The following is a 23,325-nucleotide window of genomic DNA, read 5'->3' on the forward strand; positions in this document are numbered from 1 at the left end:
AATTATATATTTTAACCTTTGTATTTCTCTCTGCCTTAAGAAATAGCTCAGTGTCTGAATTTAGTAAATGTTCAGTAAAGTATTGATGGAATGAAATAGTGGTAAGGATGACAAGAAGTTTTACTGACAACTATAGCAAATATTTCAAATATATATCTACTTACTATATTTTAATTCATTTAGCAGACACTGAGTAAATACCTACCATGTGCTATTATTAACCATGCCAAGTATTATCACATAGTATATTATTCTGCCTCACTTGGACTGATTTGGAGTGTATCACTCTGCTTTTCTCTTTTTTGAGATTTACAATTTAAGAGGCCTAGAGGAAAATGGGAAATGCATTCTGTGAAGTTATGGAAAAAGATCCATTTTTAACATTAGCTATCACTAGCCAAACAGATGAGTTTGATATTAGTTTATTAAATCCAGACTTCTTATGGGTTTTCCAAGCTTGCTTCTTTCAATATAAATTAAATCCGACCTTGAACACTGGGGGAAAAAAAGACTGAAAAGCAGCCAGCTGCTCCAACAGGATCAATATACCATACTCTAGAATCACTCTGATTATTCTATACCTGAATTTGATTTAATATCTAGTTGGTCAGAAAAAATAAGTCTTGTAACCTGATTTTTGTATAATTTCTGGAAAAAATGGTCATTTAGAAAAAATGTTTAAAATGCATTCTTCACTGATGGTTACAAATTCTAGCAATTTTCCTTCATGATATACTGACATTGAAATTATACTTGAAATTTAAATGTATCTTAGGAGGATTAGAAATAAGCATTTACAAATAACTTGGTCATATAAGAAAGCTAGTTACCACTAAGCAACACTACAGAAATGACTTTTTATATATATATATATATATATATATATATATATATTTTTTTTTTTTTTTTTTTTTTTTTTTTTTTTTTGAGACGGAGTCTTGCTCTGTCGCCCAGGCTGGAGTGCAGTGGCGCGATCTCGGCTCACTGCAAGCTCCGCCTCCTGCGTTCACGCCATTCTCCTGCCTCAGCCTCCCGAGTAGCTGGAACTACAGGCGCCCGCCACCGCGCCCGGCTAATTTTTTTTTGTATTTTTTTTAGTAGAGACGGGGTTTCACCGTGGTCTCGATCTCCTGACCTCGTGATCCGCCCGCCTCGGCCTCCCAAAGTGCTGGGATTACAGGTGTGAGCCACCGTGCCCGGCTGACTTTAATAATTTAAAATTTATTAAATTAAAAATATATAAATTATATTTTTATATATTATAAAAATATATATAATATATATTATATATAAATTATATATATTATATATAAATATATATAATTAAAAATATATAAATTAAATATATATTAAATATATAAATTAAAAATAATTTAAAATTTATATTAGAAAGCAAGGGCCTTGAATAAACCTAATAATCAATAAAAATTACTTCAAAATCCCTGTGAAAAAAGTATTTGAAGATTCAAAGTCAAAAAATAAAACAGTGTTTTACTATTAACCATTGTATATTTATTTAAAAGCCATAAAGAATACGAAAAAGCATGAACGCACAAATTCCAGAGAATTTGTTTTTTAATCAATCCGATCAATTTTACACAACAAAATATCATTAAGAAACATAGAAATCATGTGAATTGTATTAAAACTATGACATATGACAATATTATATAAAGAAAATTTTAACTCTAAGAGACAAATATAATTTTTTAAAAAAGAAATTAAAAATATCACGTCTTATGCTAAATATATATAGATATATTTATTATGATGCAGCAGGTTTTGGAATACAGGGATTTAGGCAAGTTAAAAATAAAAAGTTTATATGCTTAAACTTTCTGAATATTGTTTGTCTGATTTCCTATTTAAATATCAGACATCATTATAGGAAATACATAGTCTACTTACGATTGCAATGGCACTTTCAAATATAAGGCAATTAATATTTTAGAAAGCAGCAACTTTTACTTTTTTTAAAAAAAAAAGCTAGTAGCAGCATGTAAAAATGAGCATTACGAGAAACTCAGAAAAACAAATTTACCCTGAAAAGATGAATATAATTAAAAAACAAAGCACCTTTCATTTCAAAAAGAACTGTAGGCTAAGACCCTCATCTCAGAATAACCCCATCTAAGAACACTCAGGCTTTCTTTATTTAATAAGCAGCAGCAGAAGAATACATCCCATTCTACATACTGACTGTGTTAAAAAAAAAAAATGCAGTCCATATGCAGGTAGAAAACTAAAGTGCAACAGAAGCAAGTTAATTAGAGTGTACTCACTTATACACTATGCTTTTAATTAGTTAACACAAAAATGTGTAATTGATAATTTATTATTGGTCCTACATATTATTTACTGGCATGCTGTAGACCATAGAGAAATAGAATGTTTACTGTGTTTTATTATTATTACTCTGTGTAGATACATATTTATCTATCATGTCAATAAAAAGAAGCAAAGCAGTATTAAGCAGCGGTGGAATTTGTCGCTTTCACTTTTTATAAAGTGCTACATAAAATGTCATATTTCCAAATTTAAAAACATAACTCCAGTTCTTACCATGAGAACAGCATGGTGATCACGAAGGATCTTCTTGAAAAAAACAAAAACAAAAACAAAAAACAATGATCTCTTCTGGGTATCACATCAAATGAGATACAAAGGTGTACTAGGCAATCTTAGAGATCTGGCAACTTATTTTATATATAAGGCATCTGTGACCAAGAGACGTTATGAATTAAATGTACAAATGTATTATGTATAAATGTATTAAATGCAAGCTTCATATAATGACACCAATGTCTCTAAGTTGCTCAGAGATCTTGACTGGCTGTGGCCCTGGCCAGCTCCTTTCCTGATAGTCTGATTCTGCCTTCATATATAGGCAGCTCCTGATCATCCATGCCAGTGAATGAGAAAACAAGCATGGAATATATAAACTTTAACATTAAAAAATGTTTTATTTTGTAATAAAATCAAATTTCCCATTGAAACCTTCAAAAACTTTGCAGAATGAGGTTTTGATATATGTGTACAAGTAGTACCTTCTTAGTGCAAGAAAACATCATTATTTCTGTCTGCCTGCCTTTTTGTTTTTAAAAATGAAGACTATCATTGAAACAAGTTTGTCTTCAGTATGAGGACATGTTGACGGAGAGGAAAGGTAGGAAAGGGTTAGGGATAGAAGCCAGGTTATTTTATGCCAACAAAGTCTGCTCTAAAAAGCCTTATTGTTTCACTACCTATTAATATGAGAACTCTGGATTCATTTTCCCTTATCTCATGTTTATAGTGTTTTAAGCTTACTTTGTATATGTTTACTGGGTTAATGAGTCACAGCTTTTCAGGATGAACTCCTATTCTACTAGAGAGATACTCAATTGAAACACACTTTTAGATTGTGTTCTTGCAAGCCCACTCTCAGCTGTCAAAGTTAACACCCAATAAAAATACTCTACAAAGCAAAGAAATACACTTGCAAATAACTGAGTGCTGACTGTAAGCCCAATCCAACTTTTCCATTTTTCAAAATTAACCATAGTTGATGGCTTGCTGTGTCTCTCTATCTTGAACGTTGTGGTGGAGATCTTTCAAAATACATGAAGTCCTGAAATTGGAAAAAGAATTATATGTAGATATATAGATAATTAGGTATAATGCATGCGGTATTATCCTTTGTAATTTATTAGGGGATTCCCCCATTCCAGTTAAAATACATAAATTTAGGGAAATATTTATGAAGAGCACCTACTGTGAAGAGCAGCAGTTACAAATTTGGAACTGTTAGTTTTCCATTTGAAGTGCCAATTAACTGAATCTCATCATTAAAAAGAGGAAAAACTTCATAATCTCAGGATTGGACAACCCCAAAGAGTACAGTGACAGGCAGAAAGGAAGGAGGAATGGGACATCCACTTTAGAGTTATTTCACTAAGAAATCATAGGCTAGGCATTTTTAAGTAGTGACAATGACAAATAACATGCAATGATGATAATTATACCCAATGGATACCTAATGTTATCTAAGTACTCCCCTGGTCATTTTACCATGATAGCTAACATTCATAACCCTGAAAATTATAAGTATTTTAATCTCCATTTTACAGATGAGGAAACTGAGGCTTTCAAGTGTAAACACTTTCTAAACCATGTAACTAGTAAGTGGCACAGAGATAAGTTGGATTGGTTTCAAGGCTTATTCTTTATACTACACTATACTGCTTCTCCATCAGAAAGAACAACTCTCTCAGGATAACTCAAAAATAGAAGGCTTACAATGAGGAAGCAAGCTCCAAAAATCATGGCTTTCATCTTCACATCCAGGTCTAGTGGGAAGTGAATGTCAAAATGGTCAGCATCTGCCATTGCTGATAACAAACCATTCCACTTCCGGATAATACTGCCGATGTTGGATATGCCATCAAGGGATTTGACCTGGAATGACAAGAATGTGCCTTTATGATGATTGAAACGCATTGAAGCATGTTTTAATGTTCTGCTTATGTTCAGATAACATAAATACAATGCAGAAAAAGACTATGTAATTATATAATTTGAAATGAGAAAATAATGGCCAAAAAGGGTTAACTGCCTTGCAACTGGTTAATAACTGAGCTAGGGTATTCTTAAAAGTCTCAGACTGCTGCTCTTTCTTCATCTTCAAATGAGTTATTAAGGGACCTTTTAAGAAGAGGTATGATTTGAACTGATTATGAAATTCTTCTCAACATAGTAAAGGGTGGGAATTGGGAGAGAGTCACTTCCAAACTAGGGAAACCTATGAGCAAAAACCGGGAAACAAGTACTGTTCACTTCACATCACTTAAGTTTTTGTGAGTGAAATTCACCTTGTCTTCTTAATATACGGCCAGATACCAACGAGCTTCAGTTTCTAAAAGGGGAAACCTGGCACTTGTCACAGGGAAAATATCCAAATACTAACTTCTAATGTCACTTGGCAATGGGAATGATCACACACACCCTGCCCTAGCAATCTGGCTTATCTACATTGCTCTTTTAATAAATAAGCAATGCTTAACGATACAGTAATAGAAAATAAGAACTAAGGAAAGTTTCTTGAGTATCATAGGAAACATATGAGCAAGCAGTTTTGAAGATGATGAATCTTGCCTAATTGCAAGGCATTCAAAAAATATTCTTTAAGAAGCCTAGGAAATATTTCTAGGAATTTCCTGTGTCAGACTCGTAGGGTAATGAACCAGCATTTTGTAGCCAGTGAGATAAAGGCAAAACAAAATAATTTTTCTTTTTATTGAAAAAAATGTTAAAACTATTATAAGTTTTATCCATATTGTTAGTGTTATCCGATTTCTTGAGGATGCTGACAGACTTGTATCCTGCAAATAAGTATTTCCACAGCCTAAGGAGTACTTGGTATGTTCTGTGACATGTTGGGCACTTGCATTACTTAGAGCCTATATTCCCAGCCTAGAAATCTAGGGAAAAAAATGGTTAATTACATATAGCCAACAATAGAATAGATGAATTAGGTCAAGCTATTTACTCTCAGAATATTTAATGTATTAAATGATTTCTTTTTATTTTTATCAAGTACTGAAGTCATAAAAAAAGCTTTCATTTTGGAAAACCTCAATCTACTCACAATAACTTTAAAATCTTTTGATGTCAACTGGTTAATTAACTCTTTCCTAACACTATGTTATTCATTCACATTAAAAAAAAATGTCTACAACCAGATCTTTCCATGGTCTGTTAATATGAGTAGGAAAAATATCAGAAACACTATTTTTACATAGTTTCACCTCAAAAACAGAATCTGAACCACAGCCATAGGTTGAGCATGGCCCACGAACTCTCATCACATTTTCTTTCTTCTCATTTTGGATGCTGTACACCGCCCTGCACAGGTTCCAATGTTCCGCAACAAAGCCAATGGTGACACCAGGAGGACACTGCACCTCCAGCTGCAAACAAAACAGTGACAGAAGTTAGGATGCTACATGCATACACATACACTTACACATACGCACATACACAATCTAGATGTGTCCTCACTCATTCAAAGACTAGGGAAATTATTGTTGGGAGTGACAGCCTTCCATCTCACCCAGGCCATTCTTCAGGTTGGATTTCAGTGAAAAGCTTTAACGGATGAGGTCATGTTTGCCTCTGGGATAGACAGCAGGCTTAATTAGGGCTTGTTACATAATGGCCAGTTGTCCAAGTTCAGTGTTGGCAAGCTGCATAAACAGCTGATATTTATAACTCTGAAAAATATAAGTATTTTAATCTCCATTTTACAGATGAGGAAACTGAGGCTTGCAAGTGTTAAACACTTTCTAAAACATGGAACTAGGAAGTGGCACAGAGATAAGTTGGCTTGGTTTCAAGGCTTACTGTTGATACTACACTACACTGCTTCTCCATCAGAAAGAACAATTTTCTCAGGATAAGTAAAAAATAAAAGGCTTACAATGAGGAAGCAATGGGCTTCTCCAAGTCAACCTCAGAACTTGGAGATGAGGGGAACCTACACACTTATGCTGCTTGCTGTGCTGTAAAACGGTCCTCTGTCTCCTTCCTAGGAGTCTCATTTCTTCTGACTCAGTCTATTAAACAGTTAAGCTGACTTTTTAGATTTGAAATTGGGTAAAATCAAATCTCAGACATGAAAATTATAACAGAAAACAAAAAAGAGGCATTTTGAAAATTATATATTGTGAAAACAACAAAATGTGTACATGGGTTTATAAAGCCATTTTTTAAAAGTTTTAAAATATTGTCCACTACCCTGTTTTTAGCTATTTATCTTCAACAATATTATTTTGTGAATAATTAAGATCTTCCTGTTTAATAATAATGAGTCATAAAGATTAAATTATTTGGTAAAAGCCCAAAGTGAAAATTTTATTGACTATTTCTCTGGTGTTACATGTACTTTCATAAGAATTTGGGGAAAGGATTACCCAGGACATGGAACAGGACTGCACAGCTTCATAAATTATTAAATTAAGGTATTATTGTTCATATGTATAAATTCACACCTATATACAAATATATAAATTTGAGAGTATCATAGAGCTCTCATATAAGTTTAAACCTATGAGATAAAAATAAAAATGTACAAAAATAAATTCCTTAAAAATTCATACCATGGTATACTACTCAGCCATAAAAGGGAATGAACTAGTGGTAACAGCTTGTACGAATCTCCAGTTAATTACTGTGGATGAAAAAGACCAATCCTGAAAAGTTACATACTATATGATTCTGCTAAAATAACACTCTCGAAATGACAAGATTATAAACATAGAGAACAGATTAGTGGTTCTGAAGGGCTAGGGACAAAGAGGAGGGAGGAATGTGGATATGGTAATAAAAGAGGACTTTGGTGATGATGGAACTGTTTGGGATTTGTATTGTGCTGATGGAAACAGGAATCTACACAAATGATAAAACTGCACAAACTAAATGTATACACACACACACAAATTAATACAAGTAAAACTGGAGAAATCTGAAGAAAAACCTAGGTAAAGTTATGAGACAAAAGTGTCATAAATTGGACTAGGCTTGTAATTTTTTTTAGGAGTAAGGGTCTTTCTCTGTCACCCAGGCTGGAGTGAAGTGGTGTAATCACAGGTCACTGCAGCCTCGATATCCTGGGCTCAAGTGATCCTCCTACCTTAGTCACCCAAGTAGCTGGGACCACAGACACACATCACCAGGCCTGGCTAATTTTTTTATTTTTTATTTTTGTAGAGATGGGGTTTTACCATGTTGCCCAGGCTGATCTCAAACTCCTGGCCTCAAGTGATCCTCCCACCTCAGCCTCTCAAAGTGTTGGAATTACAGGTGTAAACCATCCTGCCCAGCTGTAATTTTGATTTGCTTTCCTTTATTCTGGCTTCCTATAATTTCAGAAGGCTGTATCTATAGGCTTTGATTAAAAAAAAATCTAACTCATAAATATGAAGATAAATGCCTACTATATCCAAAAGGATCAAGGATAATAGGTATTCACTTCACATATAAGGCTGTTATCACAAAGACAATAATAACAAAGGAGTAAGATTTCTGAAAAGAGAAAATATTCATTGAGTACTATACTATTTGCTAGGAACTGTGCAGAAGAATTGACTTAATCCCTAAAATGATCATCCTATCCGATAGGTACTATTAATATTTCCATTTTACAGGTAAATAAGGCCTGGAGACGGTTGTAAAAAATTAATATTTAGTAAAGGATGTTATTTAACAGATCATTTAAGTATTTCAGTAATCCTATGATGTATTATACTACCCAGTTTATGTATAAGAACACTAAGGCTCAAACAGGTTAATTAAATTTTACAGATTTAAGTAGGTGACATATCTAGAATTCAGACTCTGTTTGGTTTCTCTCCAAAACCGCTTCTCTTTTCCCTACAGAAAATAACTTGCTTAGAAATGCAAGATAATGAGTAACCACACTGTAACTCAGCACATCTGTATTCTAGTTCCAGCCCTGTCCTTAGCCAAATGTAACACCTCAGCCATTTAGTAATTTTGAGCCACTCTTTATCTGTGGCAAGGTATGCGTTGTGATGGGTACTCTAAACATATTTAAGTCCCTTCCAATTCTAAAAGCATATGTTTATCTTTAGCATTGCTTTATCTAGTGATAGGTACGTACATTTAGATAAATGTGGTAGGTAAATTTCTAATTAAGTAGATGCAACTGATGGAATCATAATTATTGACTACACATATGTCAATTGTGCTTGACCCACTTATTTAAGCACTAAAAAGTAGTAACCAAAAAGAAAAAATCCTCTATGATTTTCCTTAGGCGAGACAATTTGGTTTCCTCCCTCCCCACTATCTTCTTCCATTCTGGCTGGCAGGGCCAGGGAATATCCTCCCTATGTAGTGGAAGGAGCACACTATGCCATGAAGAGTTAGATCAGAAGCAAGCTGTGGATCAGACTTCCATTCTCTGACCTCTTGTCTGGCAGAGGGGCAACAGAAGCAACAGCAGGTGCATCTGAAGGGTCTCTGCATTGTCATGATTTCTCGGCCCATACAATCAGTGACCCGGAGGACGAAGGGCCTTAGTGTCCGATAGGCATTCCTGGTAAAGTCATCTGTGTCTTCGGTTACAATGTAAACCATCTGGTCTGAGTTGTTTTTAATATCATATCTATTATTAGTTTCAAAACATGTCATCACTAAAAAATAAAATGAGTAAGTCTATATTAGAAACATTTAAAATGGGCCTCAGAAAGTCCTTGTTTAGTATTTCTTAAGGGCTTAAAGCAACATAGCTTTTTTAAAGTTTCAGGTGAAATATGTAGAATTGATTAGAGTACCCCAAAAATCATATTATCTAAAAGTATTTAAGCAATTGTGAAAATTTAAAACATTTCTTTTAAGAAGTTCAGTGTAAACATTAAAAAAATTTTACATAAAAGAAAAGATTGAAACAACCCTTTTGTTTCAATTCCTGGAGTATCTGAATTCAGAAAACTTTAATTATAAAACCATTTAAAAAAATTATACATTTGACCATTAATTAATCAGTTCACGAAACATGCTTGGAGGAGTAGGGTCATTACTAATTACAAACAAGAGAACAAACCAAGAAAAGTCAAAGGCCCTATGTGGTGGCCAAATGAATGTGCACAGCTGGTTTAGTGAGGGTCAGTACTCTTGTAGGATGAACTGAGAACAGGCATCATTTTGACTGAGATCTTTTCTTCTTACTTCCAAAGCGAGGGCACTGCACTACGATTTGGCAGATTTGGATTCTATTTCCAGCTCTGCCACTGATTAGCTGACTGTGGTTTAAATGCTATTTCCTGATCTGGAGGTGATTAGCTGACTGTGGTGTCCCTGGCTAACTCATTTAGTCTCTTGGCTCCTTTTTTTACTCATCTTTGAAAGGTAAATGTGGAGTAGGAACAATGGGTAAAGTGTAGGGCTATTGACCAGATAAAATGTAAGCCCTTTTCAAATCTAAGAGCTTATGATTATATGATGTATAGAAGGATAAAATTATACAAAATAATTCACTTTATTACTTTCTTGAAGATAGGGTAATAGAGCAGTTTTTTTTTCTTTGAGCCACTAAAACATGATCAATATAAAGAAGGAACTAGATATTGGATAATGCAAATTTCCATCTGATTAAAATACTGCTGAGCACTACAAAAATTATACATACTTTCCAGAGGCTCAAAATGCTGAAGAACATGTATGTTGTCCAACTGTTGGGATAAAACAAAGCAATCAGAAGACAGAAATAACAGAACTAAAATACCACTGTAAAATAAACTGATGAAATAGATATTAAAATGCATCAATTGATACCAAAATATATTTTTGAAAGTCAATAGAATCAAAAAAATTTTACCAACTGAAATTAGCTTATCTGCATCTGATCGGATGGATATTAGCAGAGTTGTCCATATTAGAAAAACACTTTCTTTCAGTACCACTTTAAAAAAGTTGTCTGCTATATCAGAAAAACAAAACATCTACTTGCTGTAGTAATCACATCAGAAGAAGCTGTGCTTATAGATTGTTCCTAGATAAGTCCCTACTCACTGGTCTCTCTACATGTCATCCATAGCCTGTAGTTGTTTAGTTAAGTTCAGAACGATTAACACGGACCAGCCATAGAAAAGGGAAGTCTCTCAGTGGCTTAAGGAGAACAAACAAGCCAGGGTGAACCTCACATGGAGTGTCCCCATTTTATATTATTTTACAGGTACCTCCAGCAGAGGTTTATAAACTGACTTGCATTCACTTGATCTACAAAGGCCAGGGTCTTCCCCAAGTGCACACTTTAATAAGGGAAGGGTCTATTACACTAGGAAGCATGTGAACAGGATTAGGGGAAGAGAAAGGAAACATTGTTAGATGGCAACCCATGAAAAGGACGGCTGGGTATATACCATTAGAGAAATTTCTATCTTAGGAATCATTCTAAAGATGAGCAGTTTGATGGGCACATTATCTGTTACATGTGAGAACATTCTAGCAGAAGAAAAGAAACCTTCTTGAGGACACACTGATTATATTTGTATAATTTTACATCATTTAGACCATTAGACCATTCCTAATCCCTGAGCCCAGAACACTGCCTGAAGTGCCATATTTCACCAAACATTGGTTAAGTACATTAATTAATGAAGAATATATGAATGCAGTAATACATGAAATTAAAATAATGTACCTAAACACGAATGTTTTATGGTGTGATTAATTACAGGAGGGTACAAAGGGCACAATCTATGCTTAATTAAAACCTTTTTCTTACATAAAAACACAATGACATAAGGAGACATAAATATGCCTCATAAAATACCAAAAGTGACTACTAAAATGGTTTATAGTCCATTTTAGAAAAGTAGGGTATTAAAATCTAGAAGTGAAAAGTAAAAATATAAACTACAGGCATACTCTGAAGATACTACAAGTTTGGTTCCAGACCAAGGCAATAAAGCAATTATTGTAAGAAAGTGAGTGACATGAATGTTTTATTTTCTTATTGAATCTAAAATTATGTTTACACTATAATGTAGTCTACAGTGTGTGTAAGAGTATTAATCTAAAAGAAGTATATATCTTAATTTTAAAAAACTTTATTGCTAAAAACTGCTAACAATCATCTGAGACTTCAGCTAGTCACAATCCTCTTGCTGGTAGAGGGTCTTGTCTCTATGTTAATGATTGCTAAATGGTCAGGGTGGTGATTGCTGAAGCCCAGGTTGGCGGCAGCAATTTCTTAACAAAAGATAATGAAGTTTGCCATATCAATTGACTGACTCTTCTCTGCATGAAAGATTTCCTTGTAGCACATGATGTTCTTTTTAGTACTTTACCACAGTAGAACTTCCTTCAAAATTGGAGTCAATCCACCTAAAAACTGCCACTGCTTTATCAATTATATTTGTGTAGTATTCTAAAACCTTTGTCATTTCAACAATGTTCACAGAATTCTCACCAGGAGTAAATTTCATCTCAAGGAAGCACTTTCTTTGCTTATACATAAGAAGCAAGTGCTCATCTGTTAAAGTTGTATCATGAGTTACAGTAATTCAGTCACATCTGCAGGTTCCACTTCAAATTCTAGTTCTCTTGCTGTTTCCATCATATCTGAAATTACTTCCTCCACTGAAATCTTGAACCCTTCAAAATCATCATAAAAGTGGCAATCAGCTTCTCCCAAACACCTGTTAATGCTGATATTTTGACCTCTTCCCATGAATCATGAATGTCCTTATTGGCATCTAGAATGGTGAATCCTTTCCACATGGTTTTCAATTTATTTTGCCCAGATCTGTCTGAGAAATGACACCATCTATGGCAACTATAGCCTAACGAAATTCATTTTTTTAACAATAAGACTTGTAAATTGAAATTATACTTTGACCCATGGGCTGCAGAATGGATGTTGTGTTAGCAGGCATTAAAACAACATTAATCTCCTTATACGTCTCCATCAGAGCTCTTGGGTGACCAGATGTGTTGTCAGTGAGTAGTAATGTTTTGCAAGAGACCCTAACAGGGAAGTCAGTCTGTCCTTTGAAGTTTTCACGTCAGGCGTTGACTTCTACTTTTTAGCTATGAAAGTCCTAGAAGGCATCTTCTTCCAACAGAAGGCTGTTGCATCTATATTCAAAATCTGTTGTTTAGCAGAGTCACCTTCATCAATGATCTTGTTATAGTTAGGATCTTCTGAAAAACTTACTGCAGCTTCTACATCAGGACTTGCTGCTTCACCTTGCACTTCTATGTTACAAAAGTGCCTTTTTTCCCCCCTTAAGCCTTGTGAGCCAACCTCTGCCAGCTTCAAACTTTTTTTTTCTGTAGCTTCCTCACCTTTCTCAGCCTACATAGAATTTAGGAGAGATAGGGCTTTGCTCTGAATTATGCTTTGGCTTAAGGAAATGTTGTGACTGGTTTGATCTTCTTTCTAGACCACTAAAACTTTCTCCATATCAGCAATTAGGCTCTTTTACTTTTCACCATTCATATGTTCATTGGAGTAATATCACTTTCAATTTCCTTCAAGAACTTTTCCTTTGCATTCACAGCTTGGCTAACTGGTGCTAGAAGACTAGCTTTTGGCCTATCTCAACTTTCAACATGCCTTCCTCATTAAGCTAAATCATTTCCAGCTTTCTTATTTACAGTGAGAGATGTGCAATTGTTTCTTTCACTTGAACACTCAGAGGCCATCACAGGATTATTAACTGGCCTAATTTCAATATTATTGTGTCCCTTCCTGGAACTCAATAATATGTGTCTGTTAAGGGGTAGTTCTTTGACAAATTGGTAAAGTCACTGGTAAAGCCAAGACTCTGAAAATAATATAATCGTGCTAATTTGGATGTTTTAGGATTCTTGGGAACCTTGATAAAGATTCATGTAATCTTCATGTGAGATCTCAAAAAGACTAGGGTAGATAGAGGAAAAAGATTGGCTCTATGTCTTGCATTCACACATAAGAAGGTATTTAAGCTAATAACAGCCACATAGCTTTCATCCATTGGGACGGCCCTTTATGTCAAAAATATTAGGCACATTGTGACCCTTATCTCATTAAAAATTCTCCTAACAATCTGGTAAGGTAGGTATTGATAATACTATTTTATAGATGATAAAATTCAAGCAGCAAGAGGTTAGAAATTTTATCAAAGTTTTTGAGTTACTAGAGAGTAGGACAGAATTAAAAAACCAGGTTTGCCTGGGTCCAAACCTGTGTTTTGTTTATTTTTTCACTTATTTCTTTAACTCTAAATATTCCTAAAAGGGAAAACTCATAAAATACGTTAAATTAACCTCTGTCAGAATCATAAAAGAAATTAAGAAACAAGTTTTTAATATTTAAATAAACAAAGCTATACAATTTGAAAAGAGAATTGACTGTAGAAGATGTTAGATTCCCAAGAACAACTTCTGTATTTATCACCAAGTATAGAAATGAGACTTTCTAAACTTGATAAGCTACAAACATTTTATTATCTTCTGAAATAATGTAGATGTTTACTCTAGCACTTCACCTGAATGAGTTTTGCATTTTGTCAAAATTTTGTCCAAATAATAATTTAGGATAAATTTTGGCTTTTGTAAAATCCAAATTTTCCTGATCCAACTGTATTGACTTCTATACACCAATGTTATAATATTATACAAATAGTTTTCAGCACACAAGATTATCAGGGTCCCTGTCAATATACAGAATTGAAAAGAGAAATGACAGAACTCGAGGAAATACTTGGCTGTTGACCTGGGGAGGTAAGTATTAAATTGGGAAGTTTCTTCTTTATAATGTATTTCAGCACTTCCTTTTTCTATAAACAACAACAAAAAAGATTCAGAAGGTTCTATGGAATCTCCAATAAAGTAGTCTCCCTCTTATCCTCAGGGGATACTTTCCAAGCCCTCAGTGGATACCTGAAACCACAGATTGTACCAAATCCTGTATATACTATGCACAAATTTTTCTTTTCTTCTTTACAATTTCATGGACATATTAATTTTACTATAGATCTTAGTAACCTTAGCATAGGAATTTTTTTATTATTAAGTAAAAAACCTTCACCTTTACATGGAAAGGAAGACCTTATGGCCTCTCTTTGGTCTTTCCTTGACATATCCAAATTCCCAGCATTACTACTCTTGTGCTTTGGAGACATAATTAAGTAAAATAAGTTACTTCAATGCAAGCACTGTGATACTGTAAGTCAATCTGATAACCAAGATGTGACTCTGGGTCTGTATACTATGGATAACATCTACAGCGTGGATACACTGGACAAAGGAATGATATATGTGCCAGGCAGAACACAGCAGGACTGTGCAAGATTTCATCATGCTACTCAGAATAAATTTAAAATTTATGAATGGTTTATTTCTAGAATTTTCCATTTAATATTTTTGGAACCTGGTTGACCATTGGTAACTGAAACCGCAGGAATCAACGCCACAAATAAAAGGCGTCTACTCTGCCAGCTTTATCTTATTTTCATTAAGCAGGTTTTTTAGTTTCAGACATGGGTTTTTAAACAAAACTATTTGTGCACAAACTTCCCATATTACCCCAGTTTTTGATCTGCATGTCCTGGTGGCAGCAGAATATCTACATAGATGTTAATTAGGGAGTTATTGTGTTGTATGAAGGGGGTCTCTGGAACTTGGCCTGAAGCAATATTCTTTGTAGGGTCCATTATTTTTATTTATATTGTTTGTTTTTGGGGGTGACAAGAGTAGCTAATGAAAATGATGGGTGGTGGTAAAAAGCAATGGGCTAAGGCACTCAGTAATTTACCCACTGTATTGTGTTTTGTTCTCTTTTGTGCTTTTTTTGATGTTAACTGTTTACTTCTAAGCAAATAACACAACTATCCTCTATGATAGTTTTTCTATTTCCATTTGTACAATTCTTTCAAGAAAACATCTTGAATGCCTTGAAGTTCAACATAAATCCTTATGAAAAACATACTCATCCCACTATAAACATCCTTGTACTTGCTGTTTCCCCTTCATATTTCTGAAACTGGTATCACTGTTCTTATAGTTTCACAAATGGCATCTGTCATCACTGACCCATCTCCTTTATTCACTCTGGTCTGCTTTTTTTCTCTCTTTGTTGGATCCCTATGGTCACATTTCATAAGAAAATAATTTGTATTTTCATGGAGTACCTGAACTAAGTATTCCAGACCAGGAGGGCAGTTTGCCATAGGAGTTGGCCCTGGCATCCATGTTATTGGAACAGACTGATTTGGCATAGGATATTTGCCAGGCTGATACCGGACAGGATGGATACCACCAACTGGCTGGTACAAAGGGAAGGTACTGGGTTGCTGTGGACTGTAGTATCCCATAGGCAAGCCTCCTGGGTAGCCAGTAGGTGGAGGGACAGCTGTTCCAGGGGGTCCTGTGTTCAAAAGAAATCAAAGTGTTATATATTATTAACACTAAAGTTAGCATAACTTTTTACATGCGATGAAATAGATCACACGACATCCACTTAAATATAACAACTTGTTCCATTTTTGATTCACACTTTATGCAGATCATGGTTGCATATGACCCAACGATGTATTAGGGAGACTTATTTACATATTAATTCATTTAATCCTCTTAAAGCTTATAAGATAATTATTCCCATTTCAATGGTACAAAAATAAGTTTTGAAACATTAGAAGAAACATGTTAGCTTCTTAATAAATTAGGTTCCTCCTTGGAGATAATAAACTTACCTAATGAGGTTGTAGTGGGATTAATTACTAACGTATTAATTACTAACGTATAATTACTAACATATAATTACTCCTGCAAATTTTTGTTATTATGTCTATTGTTATTGTTTGTGGTTACATAAATAATGTCTACTTCATTTCAAAGGAGTGCTTTTAATGAATATTTTAGGTTGCCTTGACCCAATCGCTTGTACATATCTTCATCATCGAGTTCTCAGACTGGTCCCCAATCCTGACCTCTTTTAGATTCAATTTCTTAAAGTTATTTTCTTAGTAGTTATGCTGCTATAACAAAATAAGCACAAACTGAGTGGCTTAAACAACAAGCATTTCTTTCTTATAGTTCTGGAGGCTGGGAAGTTCAAAGATAAATGTTAGCATGGTCAAACCTGGTGAGAGCCTTTCCTGGTTTGCAGATGTTCACCTTCTTGCTATATGCTCACAGAGTGAAGGGGGAGAGAGAGAGACAGAAAGACAGAATCCCTCTCATGTCTCCTCTTATAGGGTATGAGTGCCATCATGAGGGCTCCACTCTTTTGATTTAATTTTCTCTGAAAGGCCCCACTTCCAAGTAACATCACATTGGGAAATGGGACTTCAATATGTGAATTTGGGAGGGATATAAACATTCAGCCCACAGCACTTATCCCTCTATCATTTCTCCCCATTCCACCTTCAATCAGAGATCTGATGAATTATCTTTGTCATTATAAGTCCATCAAGGAACCTAGATTTCCTTAAATGGATACAAGATTTTATCATGCTTTAAGAGCACAGTCTACATATTCAATGCAATTCCCATCAAAATACTATCACCGTTCTTCACAGAACTAGAAAAAACAATCCTAAAATTCATATGCAACCAAAAAAGAGCCTGCATAGCCAAAGCAAAACTAAGTAAGTGAAAAGAACAAATCTGGAGGCATCACATTACTTGATTTCAAATGATACTATAAGGACATAGTCACCAAAACAAGATGGTACTGGTATAAAAATAGGCACATAGACCAATGGAACAGAATAGGGAACCCAAAAATAAACCCAAATACAGCCAACTGATCTTTGACAAAGCAAACAAAACACAAAGTGGGGAAAGGACACCCTATTCAACAAATGGTACTGGGATAATTGGCTAGCCACATGTATGAGAATGAAACTGGATGCTCATCTCTCACCTTATATAAAAATCAACGCAAGATGGATCAAGCACTTAAATCTAAGACCTGAAACTATAAAAATTCTAGAAGATAATATCAGAAAAACCCTTCTAGATATTGGCTTAGGCAAAGACTTCATGACCAAAAACCCAAAAGCAAATGCAACAAAAGCAATGATAAGTAGGTGGGACTTAATTAAACTAAAGAGCTTTTGCACAGCAAAAACAACAGTCAGCAGAGTAAACAGACAACCCAAACACAATCTATACATCTGACAAAGGACTAATATCCAGAATCTGTAACGAACTCAAACAAATTAGCAAGAAAATACAAACAATCCCATCAAAAAGTGGGATAAGGACATGAATAGACAATTCTCAAAAGAAGATACACAAATGGCCAACAATTGTATGAAAAAATACTCAGCATCACTAATGATCAGGGAAATGTAAATCAAAACCACAATGTAATAACCCCTTATTCCTGCAAGAATGGCCATAATCAAAAACTCAAAAAATAACAGATGTTGACATGTACGGAGAACAGGGAACACTTCTACACTGCTGGTGGGAATGTAAACTAGTATAGCCACTATGGAAAACAGTGTGGAGATTCCTTAAAGAACTAAAAGTAGAACTACCATTTGATCCAGCAATCCCACTACTGGGGTATTTATCCAGGGGAAAAGAAGTCAAAAAAAGATACTTGCATATGCATGTTTATAGCAGCGCAATTCACTGCTATAATACGGAACTAGCCCAAATGCCCATCAATCTACGAGTGGATAAAGAAAAATGTGGGATTACATATATATATGATGGAATACTACTCAGCCATAAAAAGGAATGAATTAATGGCATTCACAGCAACCTGGATGCGATTGGAGACTATTATTCTAAGGAAAGTAATTCAGGAATGGAAAACCAAATATTGTATGTTCTCACACGTAAGTGGGAGCTAAGCTATGAGGATGCAAAGGCATAGAAATGATACAATGGAATGGACTTTGGGGGCTCAGGGGTAATGATGGGAAGGGGGTGAGGGATAAAAGGCTACAAATTGGGTTCAGTGTATACTGCTTGGGTGGTGGGTGCACTAGAATCTCACAAAATATCACCACTAAAGAACTTACTCATATAACCAAATACCACCTGTTCCCCAAAATCCTATGGAAATAAAATATTTTTTAAAAAGAGTACTCATAAAAATGAATAAGCACACAACAGCTAATGTTTGACTTTAGGAATTTTTTTATCAAGGTCTCTTAAGATAAGCAGTGGTAACTTTGCATTTCACTATGTTTTTTTAAAGTCAAAGAATTGCCAACAATAAGTATGAGAATGCCATTACTGCATATCTATCTAGGTCTGGTTACCAGGAATTTTTTGAATAACTTTGATCATTACTAATTTATTTTTGTTTCACTTTCCAAGTTTTTAAGATTAATTAATTAAAATTTATAAATAACTGGGTCTTGGTTGTCTACCCAGAAATATGCAACAGACCCTAACTTATTGCTAAGGTCTTGTAGCTCTAACTGAAATCCTGTGAGTAGTAGAGCCACAAGCAGCCCACAAGTGATGTTGTCTGAACTGTCAGGAAGGCCAGGCTCAGATAAAGAAAGGTTTTTCTCCTTTAAGAGAGAATTTAAGGAATAATGTCCTGTGGTTGAAAACAAAATAAGTTATGTAAGTCAAGATATTTTATGTTAAGATTTCAGTATAGTCGTCCCTTGATATTCATAAAGGATTGGTTCCAGGACTCCCTCAAATACCAAAACCTACAAATGCTTAAGTCCCTTATATAAAATGGTGTAGTATTTACATGTAACCTACTCACAGCCTCCCATATACTTTAAATGATGTCTAGATTACTTACAATAGCTAACACAATGTAAATGCTAATATAAATTGTTTTTGTGTTATTTTTATTGTATAATTTTTATTGTCATTTTTAATTGTGCTTTTAAAATATTTTTAATCCACACTTTTTTGAATCCATGGATGAAGAATTCACAAATATAGGGGTCCAACTGTGGATCTATTTTAGTTTAAATTAAATAAAAACAACTTTTTATGAGCAGGGAATACCAGCTAAGACTTGAACTGTAAAATCTGAAGCCTTAGTGACAAGACATGAAGGCAATTTTTAAAAATGGAACTAGATTTTTCAGATTTTCAAAGGCAGATGTTTAAATTTAGAGAAAAAAATCACCTCAACATATTGTTTCTTAAATTGTGGCTCAATATACCAAGTCCTTCAAGATAATCTGGAGTTCTTAGTAAAATTCCAGATTCTGAGCCTCATTCCAATCTATTGCAACAGGATCTCTATGGCAAAACTTGAGATTAACAAAACATTTTATTTCATTGATCCTTTTTTAAAATGTACAATGTAGTGGTTTTAAGTATATTCTCAAAGTTGTGCAACCATCACTGCTACCTAAACCCAGAATTTTCATCATACCAGAAAGAACACCCATACCCATTAGCAGCAATTTCCATCTCCTCTTCCCCACAGTCCCTGAAAACCACTACTATCTGTGGATTTGCCTAATCTACACTTTTCATGTAAATGAAAACATACAATAGGCCTTTATGTCTGTTTTTTTTTTTACACTTGGCATGTTTTCAAGGTTCATCCATGTTGTAGCACATATAAGTACTTAATTCCATTTTATGGCTGAGTAGTATTCTATTGTGTGGATATATCACATTTTAGGTATTGTTTAATCAGTCAATGGACATTTAGGTTGCTTTCACTCTGGGCTATTATAAATAACACTGCTGTGATCCTCCATGTACAAGTTTTAGTGTGGACATGTTTTCAGTTCTCTAGCTATGAGTGAAATTAGCTGAAATATTTAGTAACTCCATTATTAACTGCCAAACTGTTTTCCAAAGTGGCTTTACAATTTCATGTCCACTTGCAAATATGAGAGTTCTACTTTCTCCACATCCTCCACCAATACTTGTTATTGTCTGTTTTTATTTTAGTCATCTTAGTGGGTATGAAGTTGTATCTTATTGTGATTTTTATTTGCATTTTTCTGATTACTAATGATGTTCAGCATCTTTTCATGTGCTTATTGGCCATTTGTATATCTCCTTTGGAGAACTATCTATTAAATCTTTTGCCTACTTTAAAACTGAATCATTTGTCTTTTTATTGTTGCATTATAAATGTTCTTTATATATTCAAGATAAAAGTCTCTTGCCAGATAGTTTGCAAGTGTTTTCTCTCATTGTGTAGGTTGTCTTTTCTCTTTGATAGTGTCCTTAGATATACAAAACTTTTTAATTGTTATGAAGTCCAATTTATTTTTTGTTGGTTGTTTGTGCTTTAGAGTGTCATATCATATCTAAGAAACTATTGCCTAATCCAAGGACATAAATACTTACATCTATATCTTGTAAAAGTTTTATAGTTTTCACTCTTAGACATAGGTCTTTCAAACACATAGATCTTTGATTCATTTAGAGTTTTTGTGTTTAGGGTGAGACAGTTTCAAATCATTCTTTTGTATGTTGATATTCATTTGTCTCAGATCCTTTGTTGAAAAGAGTATTCTTTCCCTATTGAATTATTTTGACATGCTTGTAAAAAATCAGTTGGCTACAGATGTTTGGGTTTATTTCTTAGACTCTCAATTCTATCTCATTGGTCTATATGTCTATCTTTATGCTAGTACTGTGGTATTGACTTCTGTAGCTTTATAGTAAATTGGAAATTGGGAATTGTGAGTCCTCCAATTTTTTTTCAAGATTGTTTAGGCTATTCTGAATCCTTTACATTTCCATATGTATTTGAGGAATAGCCTGTCAATTTAAAAATTCCACTGTGATAAGAATTGTGTTGAATCTGTAGATCAATTTAAGGAGCATTTCCATTTAACAATATTTACTTTTCAAATCTGTAAAATGCCTTTCCACTTACGTAGTCTTCTTTAATTTCTTTCAACGTTTTATAGTTTTCAATATGAAAGATATTTTACTCCTTTTATTAAAGTTACTTCTGGGTATGTTATTTTTAATGTTATTGTATGTGGAATTATAATTTTAATTTCTTTTTACATTTTTCATTGTTAATATATAGAAATACTTTTGGATTTCTGTATTATGATCTTATATCCTAACACACTGCTGAACTTGTTTATTGTGCTGTTTGTGGGTATATATGGGTTTTTTTGTTTTGTTTTTTTTTGTTTTTTGGGTTTTTTTTTTTTTAGACAGGGTCTCAGTCTGTCACCCAGGCTGAAGTGCAGTAGTATGATCATAGTTCACTGCAGTCTCAAATCCCTGGACTCAATTGATCCTTCTACCCTAGCCTCCAGGTAACTGGGACTACAGGAGTACAGGAGTGTACCACTGCACCCAGCTTAGACTTTTTACATATATAGGCTCATGTCTTCTGCAAATGGAGATGGTTTTGTTTCTTTCTTTCAATCTGGATGAATTTTCTTTCTTTTTCTTGACTAATTGCTCTGGCTAGAACTTCCAGTACAATGCTGAATAGAAGTGGCAAGAAAGATACCCTGTCTCATTCTTGATCTTAGATGAAATGAACGTTTTCAGTCTTTACTCCTAAACATAATGTTTGGTGTGAGTTTTTCATAGGTACTCTTTTATCAGATTGAGGGAGTTCCTCCTATTTCTAGTTTCTTAAGTGTTTTTATCATGGAGGATGTTGTATTTTGTCAAGTGTGATTTCTGTGCTTACTGATGTGGTCATGTGGTGTTTGTACTATATTTTATTAATATAGTACATACATTGATGTGTTTTAATATGATATTTAATGTGATAAACCAATCTTTTATCCATGGGATAAATCCCACTTGGTCATGGTGTTTAATCCTTTTTTATGTTCCTAAATCTGGTTTGCTAGTAATTTGTTGAGAAAGTCCGATTCTATATTTATTAGGGATATGATCTTTAGTTTTCTTTTCTTGTAACATCTATGTCAGATTTTGCTAATTGGGTAATACTGGCCTCTAGAATTAGCTAGGAAGAATTCATTCTTCTTTCATTTCTATGGAAGACATTGTAAATGACTGGTATTAAAACCTTCATGCAGCATTTAGTAAAATTTCCTTTTTTTTTTTTTTTTGTGATGTAGTCTCAACTGTCACCCAGGCTGGAGTACAGTGGTGTGATCTTTGCTTACTGCAACTTCTGCATCCCGGGATCAAGCCATTCTCCTGTCTCAGTGTCCCAAGTAGCTGGGATTACAGGCACCTGTCAGCTAATTTTTGTATTTTTAGTAGAGATGGGATTTCGCCATGTTGGTCAGGCTGGTCTCAAATTCCTGACCTCAGGTGATCCACCCGCCTCGGATTCCCAAAGTGCTGGGATTACAGGCGTGAACCACAGCACCCGGCCAAATTCACTATTGAAGCCATTTGGGCCTTAGCTTTATTTTGTGGAAAAGTTTTAAATGACGAATTTAATCTCTTTACTTGTTATATAAGTCTGTTAAGGTTTCTGTTTCTTCTTGAGTCAATTTCAATTGTTTGTATCTTTCTAGGAACTTGTCCATTTGTCTAGGTTTCCTATTAGCATACAATAAATTGTACACACAATTGTTCATGTTATTCCCTTAAGATACTTTTCAATTTCTCTATGGTAAAAGCCTCACTTTCATTCCTGATTTTAGTAATATGAGGTGTTTTATTTTTATTTTTATTTTTGGTTAGTTTGACTTAAGGTTTCTTAATTTTGTTGATCCTCTCAAATAACAAATTTTTGGTTTTGTTGATTTTGTTTATTGTTCTTTTTTCTATTTCATTTATTTATGCTCTAATCTTTATTATTTCCTACCTCTTGGCTTGGTTTTCCCTTAAGGTGGAAAGTTTGATTACTGATTTGATATCTTCCTTTTTTTTTTTTTTTTTTTTTTGAGACGGAGTCTCGCTCTGTCGCCCAGGCTG

The 23,325-nt window shown here is 34.2% G+C and overlaps 1 protein-coding gene across 12 annotated transcripts in view; it reads right to left on the reverse strand.

Annotated features, from left to right (window-relative positions):
- Window positions 1–1,489: 1,489 nt before the first annotated feature.
- The window catches only part of PLSCR4 (phospholipid scramblase 4), a 58,771-nt gene continuing 36,935 nt past the window's right edge, over window positions 1,490–23,325 (reverse strand). For 7 of the 12 annotated variants that reach the window (NM_020353.3, XM_005247655.3, XM_005247654.3 and 4 more), the window contains 6 exons: window positions 15,681–15,916; window positions 10,190–10,232; window positions 8,968–9,194; window positions 5,787–5,948; window positions 4,279–4,437; window positions 1,490–3,610 (listed from right to left, as the gene is read on the reverse strand). In NM_020353.3, coding sequence (NP_065086.2) covers window positions 3,566–3,610; window positions 4,279–4,437; window positions 5,787–5,948; window positions 8,968–9,194; window positions 10,190–10,232; window positions 15,681–15,916 — 872 coding nt within the window. In that variant the 3' untranslated portion in view covers window positions 1,490–3,565. The remainder of the gene's footprint in view (window positions 3,611–4,278; window positions 4,438–5,786; window positions 5,949–8,967; window positions 9,195–10,189; window positions 10,233–15,680; window positions 15,917–23,325) is intronic. The other 5 variants (NM_001177304.2, NM_001128306.2, XM_017006921.2 and 2 more) reach the window with 1 other exon arrangement.

This window comes from Homo sapiens, chromosome 3 (genome assembly GCF_000001405.40).
Source record: "Homo sapiens chromosome 3, GRCh38.p14 Primary Assembly".
Classification (NCBI taxonomy): domain Eukaryota; kingdom Metazoa; phylum Chordata; class Mammalia; order Primates; family Hominidae; genus Homo; species Homo sapiens.